We start from the raw sequence: 13,612 nt of genomic DNA on the forward strand, positions 1-13,612 counted from the left end.
TGTAACAAGTGAACACATTGTCTGCTAGAGTTGAAATCCATAACATCCGCCCCCTTTATTTTTTGTAAACACTCTTGTTGGATGTCATTCACGTGACTAATATGCATGCATCGCAGTGTCCAGATGTTCATGAAACCCCTCCAAATTGCATGGGAAGGACAAAATACCACAAAAACTCACAATCACCACAACTATTAATGGCACCTCAGTTTAAGGTCACTCATTGCCATTTGCATTATCATTATGAGAAACTGTGGAATCTGTATTATTTTCCACCCTATTCTAAATCCATCTCCTCTCTCACATTCAAGAATAAATGGGCAATGTGAGCCAGACCCTGTGAGATTATTATAAAGAATAACTGTAAATCTGTTTTCCTTTTTTTAAAAAGAAAAACTCACTTATGTCAAATGTTAACACCTCATTGTCATAAAATTGCATAGGCAGACCTCAAAACTGATCAAAAGAAGGTCATTGCATTTGGGTGGCATTCACTGGTTCACTTTACCAAGTTATTCAAGTTGGGAATTCATTCCCACCTCCCTTTTTCATTTTTTTTTTAGCAGCCACTGTTTAAAAATAATAAGTCAATGTTTTCTTGCTATATTTTCTTCCTCTAGACAATGATCTTTTAGTGATTTTCCTCCAGCACACTTCAGCTATCCTTCCTCCAAAGATGTACTCTAGCCTTGTATATTGTCAATAGCCACACCACTCCCAATATCTAGGTGTCAAACATCAGGCTTTCTGGCCACAGGAAGATCACGTTCTCTAATCTACACACCAACACAGGCAGGGCTTATGCCCCTTTAGAGACTCCAGTTCCAGGCTCATATGCTATCACCCCCTTTACTTCAGTTTGGATTCCATGGTTCATCCTTACAAGAATTCCCTCTCCTAACCTCAGCTTCATCTCCCTCTGTCACTGCTGTTGTAAATCGCATCCCAATTGAAACTCATTTCTCTTCTTGCTTCATGCCCGTACCCGAGCATCAGAATGTGGCTAGAGAAAAATTTACAACCATGTTTATCGGCCTCACTTTAGATTTATGGCCACATGCCTTAAGTGGGCCTCCAGCACCACCTGAACAGCTAACCACAGTCCCCAGTCAATACCTCCTCCCACTGATCCAGATGACTGTTGACACTTTCTTCTCCTTCCTCAAACAGTCAATGCTCATTCTCGATAGATGAACATGATAATTACCTTATTCGGAAAATAGAAACAATCAGAAGAGCGTTTTCTCTTTTCTACTTTCATCCCTACACATAGAGTCAATCTTCTCTTCTTTCCTATTATGATGGCTGCAACATCCCTGCTGCTACCTAAACCCACCCTTCCAGGGACTTTACTCCTGCAGTTACTGCTCTCCGTCCTGCTTCAGCAACCTAGTGAGTCATTCCCACCAACATTCAAACACGCCAAAAGGTCTCCCATCTACAGAGAAACAAAGAAACTTGCCCTTGATTTCACACATTTTCCTAGTAGCTCCTCCCATTTCTTTACCACCTTTTTGCGGAGGAACACATCAGAATGTCATTCCAGAATCCCTCAGCGCACTTCCAAACTTTCCTCTGTACTGCTCAACTAAAACGGTTCTTGTTAAATTTTCTAATCACCTTCATCAATTCAGTGCCCACATCTTAGGCTGCATTGTCTTTGAATTCTCAGTGTCATGTGGCACACGTAGTTAGGTTACTTCTTCTGATTGAAATCTTTTATGATCTTAGCTTTCAATCACAATACTTTCCTGGTTTTCCTCCCTTATCTCTGGCCAGTTCAATTCTTTGTCTTGTCCCAATATTTAATGTTGGTTCATCCAAAGATTCTGGCCTTAGTCCTCTTCTCTTCCATATTTGTAACTCATTCCCTAAGTGACCTCATATGGTTTCTTAGTTTTAAATACCATCTCATTGCTGATGACTTCCAAATTTATATATTGGTATACCTAGCTCTGATGTCTCCCTAAATCTCCAGACTCATACGTTCATCTACATACTTGATATCTTCACTCAGATGCCAAGTAAGCATCTCAAATGTTAGAGATGCAAAATAGAATTTTTGATTTCTCACCTCAAACTCATTTCTTCCCCGTTTAGTAAATAGCACTGCCATATACTCAGTTGCTCAAAGCAAAAATTAAGATATCCTTGAATTTCCAGCTTCCTCTGCCTGAAATTATCTCCCATGAAGCCTTCCAATGACTCATCCACTCACTTTAATCCATTTCTTAACCCAAATATTACCTCTTTAGAGAAGCATCCCAGACTATGCTGCCTAAAGACAACCTGTCACTTACCATCCTCATTCCTTGCTTTGTTTTTCTTTAAAGGACTCTTTATTATCTGAAATTTTATTATATAAGTATTTGTCTACATACTCACTGTCTGTATCTCACTAGAATATAATTCTTATGAAATCAAGGACCTTGTCTATCTTCTTCTCTGTTCAGCACACTGTATGCATTAAATAAACATTTGTTGAAAAAAGGATTCATATTACTGGTAAAAAAAATAATAACATTGAGAATGTTCTCAGCACTTTGTCTTTTTTGCATTCATATTAAATGCAATCATTTGGCTTAAATAAGAAAGGACGCATGAGAAATATCAGCTTGTGTGAACATCAACATTTTATTTAATTTCTTTATTCACTACCTTTTCCCCCTTCAGATTTAGATGGCATTTAAAGAAATGGAGGTGTAGAACCATGCAATGTCACAATATAAACGAAATCAGTAGCTTGCTTTTCTTGTCTCTGGGCATTGCCTATAAGCTGCCTGTACTCACATCAGACACATCAGCATTTGGAAGTACTCACTGATGCCTTCTATTACATATAGCCATATAAACTGTGTATAAATAGATTTATTTGACATGAACATTAAGGGCTATCAGTTTATAGTGTGCAACTCATCCCAGTGACTAATGTCTGTCCAAAGAAAGATTTCCAATGCTGATCTGACTCGTGCAACCCAGAGAAAGATTCTGGAATGGTATTTGGACATGTTTCCCTAAAAATTACCATTGGCTTTCATATGGGAAGGCTATTTGGATGTGACGTCTAAGTTTTATTATTACTTATTCAAGGAGGGCTACTCTTTGGGGTCAGGCCTGCTTGAGATGGAAGACCAACGGAAAAAGCTGCCTTAGCAATATGGCGATTTCCTAGCAAGCAAACTCTTTTTGCTCACTTGGTTCTAGACTCTTACCACAATAACAACATTCAGTGATGGAAGTGCACTCAAATATGCCCTCATGATTTTTTTGGACATTAGAGCTTGCTTGGGTTAGCCTCTTGTCCTATTGAATCAGCCTTTCACGAGGCTATGGGCTTGGAAGAGCCATGCCTAATGGCCAAGAGATGAGCTCATTTTCCTCTACACTATCCTGAATGGCTGTGGAGTCTTCAGTGCTCTCCCTAAAAATTTCTTGTGCCCTGTCTTCTAGACATGTGGCAAAATTATATTTCTCCACTCTCTTTGAAGATAGCTATGAACAGGTGACTTGCTTTGGCCAATGAGATGTGAACAAAGCCTTCATCAAGAAGTGACACCCGTCACTTTGGGTGGCTTTAAAAGCCAGTGTGCAATTTGATGTTTCTTTCCTATATTAATTCATTTTCATACTGCTATGAAGAAATACGCAAGATTGGGTAATCAATAAAGAAAAACAGGTTTAATGGACTCACATTTCCACATGGCTGGGGAGGTCTTGCAATCATGGCAGAGGGTGAAGGAGGAACAAATGCATGTCTTACGTGTCAGCAGGCAAGAGAGCTTATGTAGGGGAACTCCCTTACATAAAACCATCAGATCTTGTGAGACTTATTCACTATCATAAGAATAGCACTGGAAAGCTCCACCCCCATGGTTAAATTACCTCCCACTAGATCCCTCCCACAACACATGGGAATTATGGGAGCTACAATTCAAGATGAGATTTGGGTGGTGACACAGCCAAACCATATTACTCCCTATGCCAAGGTGATTGTAGAAACATATACTGAGAGAAAGCCCCCTTTGGCCTAGGGCCTTGTGTGGCCCTGATGAGCAGAGACCCCCTGTAGACCCTTGCTGGAGATGTAGCACAGGGAGGAAAAGAGACAGAAAGAGACAGAGATTTAGATTATATTAAGCCACTGAGAGTTTGGGGAAATGTTTGTTTGTACAGCATAACTTTGCCCATTCTGACTGCTATAAACCTCCTTTTAAGGCTGAGGATTCAAGGAAGGGCTGGTAAGTATCTAAGCTTTGGCATTAATAATTCAGTCCTGACCATCCTGGCCAACGTGGTGAAATCCCGTCTCTACTAAAAATACAAAAATTAGCTGGGTGTGGTGGTGCATGCCTGTAATCCCAGCTACTCAGGAAGCTGAGGCAGGAGAATGGCTTGAGCCAGGGAGGCAGAGAGTGCTGTGAGCCAAGATGGTGCCACTGCACTCCAGCCTGGTGACAGAGTGAGATGCCATCTCAAACTAATAATAAAAATGATAATAATAATATCAGTCCTGGAGAATTCTTGACAAAACAGGATCTGTGATGAGGTTGGGGGAGGTGGGTGCTGAGACAGTCAGTATGAGAAACCCCTGCAGGAAACACTTCCAGAATCTGTCCAGCCTCCACCCTCATCAGAAGCCAAGTGTCCCGCAGAAGTCAGAGTCTCATCCTCCAGCTCCTTGAAGTTCCAGCCAATCAGGGCACAAAGACACCCAGGATCAGGCTGGTTTCAGAGTCCAGAGAAGATGATATGCAGAGTAGAAAAGAGCAGACTGGGCCACCCAGTAGAAAAGAACCCAGACCACAGGGCTCTCAAAGGCTCTGTAGGCTCCGACACAGGGAGGCTAGAGGCCCCTGAGCTTCAATCCATGGTCAGGCTTTGACATTGAACAGATTTAATCTGAATCCTGGTTGCTCTGGTTGTGTGGCTTTGGGCAATTTATGTCACCTTGTTGAGATTTGATTTCTTCAGCTATGGAATGAAGACTTTAGTAGCTCAAATAGGTAATGTGAGATGCCAAGGATAAAGAGCCCCATTCTGTACCTGCAACAGAGTGGTGAAAATCTACAAAACTGCCACCCTACAGAGCAAAAATGATCAACTTCTTTCATATGGTTCAACATATATGCAAGCCTCAGTTATCAGCAGCTTCTTTCACTCCTGGATAAATTCTGATAATTCAGGAAGGACTGTCCATGGCTGTTGTTTGTTTTTACTCAGACTTCACAAACCAGAGCATGTCGAAATGCTTCCCCCTCATCGGGATGCCCTAAATGCACTATATGTACCAGGCTACCGTTCTCTGAGCTCTGCCACCAAATCTGTGACTCTGCTGACCACACAGGGCTGACCTTGACCATGGTATTTTCTGGAGTCCAGATCAGCACCTGCCCACAGCTTTGCATTCTTCACCTCTGTCTGATGGCATTTGTTATGACCTGAGGTAGACTGAAATAAGTCCATCATAAAGAAATCAAGAGCTTTCTCAGAAATGTTTGCTCTAAGAGTTCTAAAGTTTATTTTTTTCTATGCCTGAGATATAAAAATAAAGCATATGGGAGAACCATAAAAAAAAGGCACTAATTTTTCTATATTGCCTACTGGACAAGCTAAAGACGTAGCCCTTCCTATTATCATTTCTTGCAACTTCCAGCCTGAAAGATCACAATGAAGAAGTAATGAATGCAGTGCAGTTCAAGAAAACATTGGGCTATGTCTTGTCACCATGCATTTGCTCCTGCCACTCCCTGGACCTGGAATGACTTTCCTATCCTCTCCTCTCCTTCCCTCTTTCCCATGTTGCAGCGAATGCTTTGAGATACACTAAAACTGGCCAGGTGGCTCACGTCTATAATCCCAGCACTTTAGGAGGCTGAGGCAAGAGGATCGCTTAAGGCCAGGAGTTCTAGACCATCCTGGGCAACATAGCAAGACCTAGCCTCTACTAAAAATTCAAAAAAATTAGCTGGATGTGGTGCTGCATGCCTTTAGTTCCAGCTACTTGGGGAGCTGACGCTGGAGGATCACTTGAGCCTGGGAGGTCAAAGCCACAGTGAACCCTGACCATGCCACTGAACTCCAGCCTGGGCAACATAGTAAGACCCTGTCTCAAATATTAATAATAATTATAATAATAATAAGATACACTAAAACTGTGTACTTCATGAGAGAAGAGAACATGTCTTTTTTGTTCATTGCTGTACTTCTAAAAAGGCACCTGCATTCAGCAGATACTGTTGAACTAATGACTAAGTGAATGAATGAATGAAAACACCTAGACTAGAACCAAGTGCTTCAAAAGGGTTGGCCTGAACACCTGCACTGCTGGTGAGGCTCGTCTCTTATGTTCTCCTATGGCAACTCCTTACCTGTCTCAATCTTTGCATTGACAACACTGTGTGACAGTCTTCTGGTACCCAGAGCCAGAGTGTGTGTCTTATTTCCTGAGTAAGAACTCAGGGCCTAGCTTGTAAATTGCTCTATAAACACATCCCTGAATGTTTTCCTTTTCCTCTGTCTTCCTTGGCCGTCTGAGAAGTCCTGAACACCTTCAGCCTCAGGCTGGGAGAAGAGGACTCCCAGACTCTAACAGGAACACGAGTTTTGCTCCAGGAACTATCCTGGGGGAAGGGGCTGGTGCTTTTCACAATCCATGCAGAGAGCTGTGAGTTGCGTCTAAGCAAAATGGTAAACGGGAAACATAGGTCTTCAAACCAGTGATTTATTTTGTATCAGAAACGCATTTACCTGGCCTATTTTGCTGAACTGAAAAACCTCAGGTTCACTTAGTAAAACTCAATCTGAATATTTCTATCCTTTATTTCCATACAGATTAGCTTCATACGGCCTCGAGTATAAACACCACAGATTGGCTCGTGGGTTCTATGGGGAGAAAGAGGCGGCAGCGTCAAGAGGAGATCATCGCTATTTTAAGTTTCTTCATGGTTCAGCAGGCGGCTGCTAAGAGTTCTAAAGGAGCAAACAAAATGAGAAAAGTTTATTGATTAGTTTACAAATAACTGTTGTGTAAGAAAAGATACTGAATGGCATGCTGGTTTACTGGTGGCATGCTTTTTCAGGCCCCTTTCATTGTATGGCCTTGGGAGCCAGCCTCAAGGGGAAGATGAAAGAAGCAAAGCAAATTCTTTGGATAAAGAAGGGTTTGCACCAGTTAAAAAAATAAATAAGTGGGACCATTTATTTATTGTTGTTTTGGAAGTAGACCAATATATTCCTACTCTTCTTCATCTCTTCATGAAAAAAAAAAATCTCTTTACACAACTGTTTTCTCCCCTGGTCAACACAATAATGCTTTAGACATTGGATTCCATGACACAGGTAACAAGCTTCGATATGGCCCCATCCACTTACAAGTCATTCACTGAGCGGTGTTTAGAAAAGGAGCAAAAGCATCAAATCTGTGCTTTTTCCTGAACTTCTATCTGAAAGATCCTGACCTAGAGGCAGAAAGGTCACTTCAGGTGAGGGAGTTGTACCTGGAAAAAACAAGCATGGAAACAATAGCAGGACTTCCACCCAAGCTCTGCCTTGCTTCCTCTTCGTGGGACCTTGGCTGATTATTTCACTTCTCTAGGGTCAACCCCATCATTCTGGGGAAGGCTTGTGGGGGGGTTCACCAAAATGAAGGGTACACAAGCCTAGGACACAGTAAGTGCTTGAGCAGTGCCACTGTTAGCCACTCTGATGATTAGTTAAGTGAAATGCCTGGTGAGATACAGTGAGTGGTGAGACAGGGGCTGAGATGGGAGCCGGGCACACAGTGAGGGGCCTTCTGAACCTTGCCAAGGAGTTTGGCCTGGCATCCACAGACTTGCATACAAAATAAGTTAAAAAAAAAAAAGTGAGATGATTTAAAGGAAAATATTAAGTAAGTAATTGTTTAGGAGCAGAACCAATAAACAAAAATCACAAGGGAAGCAATAACATGACAAAAGCTTGGGAAAGACAATGGTTGAATATGAAGCCTGAATTAAAAGCCATGTTCCCATAAATGGAAAGGCTGCAACTGTGTATCAAATCCTTTTCTCCCTTCTCCTCTCCCTCCCTGGAACTGCCTGTTCCAACCAATAACCAAAGAACCTAGTGCAGCCAAGGAGTCATGTGAACACAGCAAAAAGCAGCAGGAACCCAGACGTCTGGCCAGAGGGGTGGCCTCATGCCCCACAGCTGGGCAGGGGAGAGGATGGACAAAAGGTGCTAGAATTGCTCTTCTAGGCAGTAGTTACAGCATAAAAACAAGGCTATCTAGCACCAAACCAGACACTGGCTTTGGAGGATTACAAACTTGAATTTGAGTCATTTAGTACCACAAGGCCGCCTGGATGAGGGCATGTAAACAGATCACTCTGACACAAAGACAAAGATATTTCCTCTAAGAGAAGGCCATGTGTACACAGACACAGGGATTTGTCCCTAGGTCATGTAGCAGAGGAAGGTTTAATGTTTGAATGAAGACAGCATGATGCAGCAGAGTATCAGAAAGACCTGAGTTCTAATGTCAGTTCTCTCTATATATTGCAAAAATAAGTGACTTTGAATCTTCATAGCAATGCTGGGAGGCAGAATTTATATTTTATCAACATTTTACAGATGGATAAAGGAGCAAAATACAGTAAGTAGTAGAATTGGCATGTATGATATTTACATATATAAAAACAGCCCTGTTGACATTCAGGAAGGCTTGGAGGTCCACAACAGTGTTTGAATTGAGAACGCAAATGGATTTGTTCTTTGGTAATGACATATATATTCCATGGTGCAGAATAAATACAATGTGTGCTATGTGCCAAAGACCACCCTGAAGAACATGATGACATCACCAATACGAAATCCCTGCTTCATGAAGCATATATTCTAGGGCCATGTCCAAAGGCTCAACGTGAAAAAGAACAGGTTACTCAGGAGGCTGGAACCCATCCAATGGGAGAGTTGTTGGTGATGAAGGCAGAGGTAGGCAGGGGCTTCAGGCTTGAAGGAAAAGATAGGAAGTAGAATTTTATTTAAGAAAGAGAAGCCGTAGGAAGGCTCCAAGGAGAGGAAAATCATGCTCTGACGGGTTTTCTGGATGCTTTTAAAAAACAAAAAATATGTGGGGAGGGGGCAGCATGGAACAGGAGTATCAGTAAGGAGCTGCATCCAGGAAATAATTTCTTAGGTTGGGATGGTTACAACAAAAACTTTCAGGACAGGCTTCTTTTAAGAACCAGATAGTAAATATTCTGCGCAAAATCAAGGCCAAAAGGCAGCCTCAAGGCTATTAGGTACATATTTATATAATCATTTCAAACCATCTGGTTAATAATAAATAAATAAATGCCATTCTTAGATCAAGGGCCATTAAGAAAGGGCCAAAAGAAAAAGCAAGCCGGCAACTGGCTGCATTTGGCCCACTGGCTTTAGTTCGCAACCCCTGGTTGGAGATCAACAGGAGAAGAGATGGGGCCTTGGACAATGAATATGGCAATTGCATGCCTGGTAGATCAGGGCTTGGAAAAAACATCATGCCTCACGATAGCTGGACTGTGTTTTTGGAAGTCCTTGTAGCTTAGCAGGACCAGGGGATTAACCGGATTGATGTATCAGAATGTGAGTATTTGGTTCTGGCCACTTTCTTCTGTTGGAGCCACCATTTGACATAAAGCAGATTTAAGATTTCATGGGAAGTGAGAGGCTCTCCCTTTATATTTTTGGGCATGGAGCCACAGCCCTGTTGGCATTCAGGGAGGTTTGGAGTTCCAAAATGGTGTTTGGGTTGAGAATGCAAATGGATTTGTTCTTCGGTTATGACACGTACATTCCATGGCCCGGAAAAACCCAGAAAATTGACATTTATTGAAAGGGTGGGGAGAGGATGGAAGGGAGTGTGTACCAATTCTATTGCCATCTGATTTATCTACTGTGAGGTCGAAAGGCCTGTAACTACCACAAGTAAAAGCTGTTGCCTGGCTAGATCAGCAATAAGGAAATTAATCAGAGTTCTCTACACAGAAATATCTAATCCATAGGGATTAATATAGCACATAATCCACACCCATCTAATTTTTCTTCTAAAGTACACTGGACTAAAGTTATGAATTAGCTAACCTTTGTATGCTGGTCACCCTTTGCACATAAGAAGAATTTGGTATATGAATATAAAACACTGGCCACAGAGTCTCCTTCAACTTTAATCTGACAGTTTCCTATATATTATATTATACTATATTGCTAGTATTCATTGTTTCAAATCATATGTTATATATTATATATCACTTTTATACTATATATTCATATATATTCTAAATAAGTGTATATGATATTTATTATTTATAATACTTTTGTATATACATTTATGTCATAAAGACATGTTAAGTACAGAAAGTTTTGAAAATTTAATCAAGATGGAAAATGTTCACTGAACTTCCATAACTACTGGTAATATTTTTATGTTTCATTCTAGTCTTTTACAGTTGGATTTTTTTCCAGAGTAGAGAGACCTTTTGTTGTTGTTAATGTAGCTTTGACCCTAAGGCTTTAAAAATTTTGTTTTCTGCTTTACCATTTAACCCAGCATTTTAGCACTAGGATCTTCTATAGTACTGAGGACTTCAAAAGATTTTCCAATAGCTGAATGCCCAGTACATTTACCACTTATAGACGAAACCAAATTGTATAGTTGGATTTGAAAAGTGCTTTCTGTATTCCCTTATTATAAGTAATAATTTAGAAAACGTTTCTCTCTTCATAACTATCTTTTTTATTTCAGATTGCGTCTTTAGCTTAAACCTAGAAGGTCCAATGTCACAAGACTTTTAAGCCCAACTTCACGACAGAAAGCTTCCATTGATTTTTGCCACACTCATCATCAGTGGGTATACATCTCTCTCTACCTTCACAATCCTGGAATATGCATATGTTGAAGGAGGAATACTGTTAATTTCATCAGTGTAAAATTTTTATCCTTGTTTGTTAAATAAATGTATTTCTTCTACTGAATTGCTTTTTAAATTGACTTCACTTTTTTTACATAGCTCTTAAAAAGGAGAGTTATTGCTTTTTCATATCTCCAAAGTTTGGGTGCTAATTAATCTGCACCTCTAAAAGTTAAAGTAAGTTACCCACAGGTTTTTTCTAGTCCTGAAAAGCAATTTATCTGCCTGTTTCAAATTATAACCACATCAATGATGATGATGATGATATTGTCCTTGGGCATATATGTGAAAGAAGCAACTCGTGAGAAGTGGGGCCAACTTGTTTTGGAGATTCCAGGACTTGTCTTTGGGCAAGTCTCCTTCCTGACAACCCCCTCCCCAGTCTGTGGGGACAGATTCAGGCTTGTGTGGCACTTGAATACTCTCGATCTGCCCTTATGTAATAAGTGTTACTCATGTCCCAGTATGAGTCACCCAATCCCTCGCCCGGGGCATCTCCGCCAGGCTGTAGAGTTTCCCACCTGCCCTGATCCCTGTCTGAATAGAGATAGCATGACTCAGCGCCGGGGAAAGGGTGGTTCTCTCTGTCTAGCTGATGTCCTCAGCTCCAGGAAGCTCTGGGCTTGCGGCATGACAGCAGAGAGAAGGGCCACGCTGCTCACGTCAGCAGTGCCCCACTGAGGGGGCCCGATGCAGGAAGAGGCAGCCCAGAGGCCAGCCGGTCCCCACCACCCAGCTACCGGGTTTGGAGAGGAAACACAGAGCAGTGTCTATTTAGATCTTCAGCGAGGTTTCCTTTCTTTCTCCACGGTCTCACGGGCAGTCAGAAGGATATGAATAATAATAACAACTGCTACTATTTTTTGAACACTGAATGCTTGCATTTGGCAAGCATCGTGCAAGGTATTTTACACATGTTAACACATTTAATCATCACAACAAGACAATGAAGGAGCTCCTATCATTTTGCCCATATGAAAGATGCGAAAACTAAGGCCCTGAGGGAATAAGTCCAGTCCACATAGCTGGGTAAGACACAGATCTGGAATTGAAACTCGGTCTCCAGAGCTTTCTCTCTTAACCACTAGACCAGTCTTTTCAAACTGTAAAGTGTACATGAATCACCCCGGGATCCTGTTAAAATGCAGATTCTGATTCAGCAGGTCTGGGATGAGACCTGGGAGTCTGCATTTCTAGCAATCTCCCAGGTGAGGAAGATGCTACTGATCCACGCCCCACCTGTTGAGGAACATGGCTCTATATTATACTGCTTTCACACTATGCTTTGGACTAGTCTTTAGTGGGAAAATACTGTATTCACTTAACTCTTTCTTTATCCATTCATTGTCTATTTATACTTTCAGACAACAACCACGGAATCCCCACCATGAGTCAAGCATGGAGAACATAGAGATGGACATGGCTCCCTCATAAACATGGAAAAAATCAGTTCAACAAGGAGACAAGACCCTCTATCACACACATATATAATTATAATTATACAGCAAGATAAGGCTGAAAACAGAGGGTTGTTCTGTGCATGGTGCATAAAGAAGAGGTGATCTTGCCAGTGAGTCAGAGAAAGTGCTCCAAAGCGTGGAGGGAGGAAGCCCAGGCATGATGTACCTCAAAGGTCTGGTCTCCTAAGAATAGTGAGATGTTCTCCTATTTGTAGCCCAGGATTCATGGTGGGTAGAAGGGGAGAAGAGGCTCTCAGGATAGACAAGAGACAGTCTCCTCGCTAGAGACCCCTCCCTTCCCATGCCCCCATCCCGTGGCTATTTTTCTCCTTTTGTTTGTCTTATTCCTTCCACAAAGACTATTCTTACCCAAACACCAAACACCGCCCATAAGCTGGATCACTTCAAGATCCAGTCCAAATGTCCTTCCTCCACATTTTCTCAGACCCCTCCCTTCCCATGCCCCCATCCCATGGCTATTTTTCTCCTTTTGCTTGTGTTATTCCTTCCACAAAGACTATTCTTACCCAAACCCCAAACACTGCCCATAAGCTGGATCACTTCATGATCCAGTCCAAATGTCCTTTCTCCACATTTTCTCCAAAGCGCACGACCTTCATATACATGAGAAGGAACTCTTGCCAGTGGCGGCTTATTCTGTGCCAGACACCTTGTTAAGGTTTTTGCATATGCTAAGTCATTTAACAGTCCAAATAACTCAGAAATATTGTAATTTTTTTATCTTATTTGGTAATGAGGAAAGTGGAAGCACCAACTTAAGAAACTTCTATCAGACCACCCAGCTCCAGTGCATGCTAGCTGGATTACAAGAGAGGCAGGTTCTTAACTGCTAAGCAGCAGGGCCCCATAGCCACTAAACCTCTCTATCGCCATTATCTCATTCACCCTCTTGAATACAAGAAGGCTTTGCTGAGTGCAAACATTTCTAAGTAGCTTGCAAGAGTCTTGACAACAATGCCCTGGGAAGAAAGAAGAGATTTGTGCAGCAGGAGCTTTGGGAGTAGGGAAATAACAGTGGAAAACTAAGCTGAAACAGCAGGTGGGATTAGGAAAGGAGCAATGATTCACACATTTACTGTGGCTGCACTTGAGGCCTTTCCAGATAGGGGCTGATATGGTTTGGGTCTGTGTCCCCACCCCAAATCTCATGTGGAATTGTAATCTCCAACGATGGAGGAGTGGCTAGAGGGGAGTTGATTG

At 41.8% G+C, this 13,612-nt stretch overlaps 2 annotated features.

The window, feature by feature from the left end:
* Window positions 10,977-12,176: an enhancer, noted in NCBI's record as "P300/CBP strongly-dependent group 1 enhancer chr16:80060683-80061882 (GRCh37/hg19 assembly coordinates)". NCBI's record gives its function as "activates an origin of replication core promoter dependent on BRD2, BRD4, P300/CBP, MED14 and CDK7 cofactors, with strong dependence on P300/CBP, by STARR-seq in HCT116 cells {active_cell/tissue: HCT116}" and the evidence as "EXISTENCE:reporter gene assay evidence [ECO:0000049][PMID:35650434]".
* Window positions 11,686-11,745: an enhancer, noted in NCBI's record as "active region_11166". NCBI's record gives its function as "activates an Ori minimal core promoter by ATAC-STARR-seq in GM12878 lymphoblastoid cells {active_cell/tissue: GM12878}" and the evidence as "EXISTENCE:reporter gene assay evidence [ECO:0000049][PMID:35858748]".

Source organism: Homo sapiens, chromosome 16, assembly GCF_000001405.40.
Source record: "Homo sapiens chromosome 16, GRCh38.p14 Primary Assembly".
NCBI classification, from domain to species: Eukaryota; Metazoa; Chordata; class Mammalia; order Primates; family Hominidae; genus Homo; species Homo sapiens.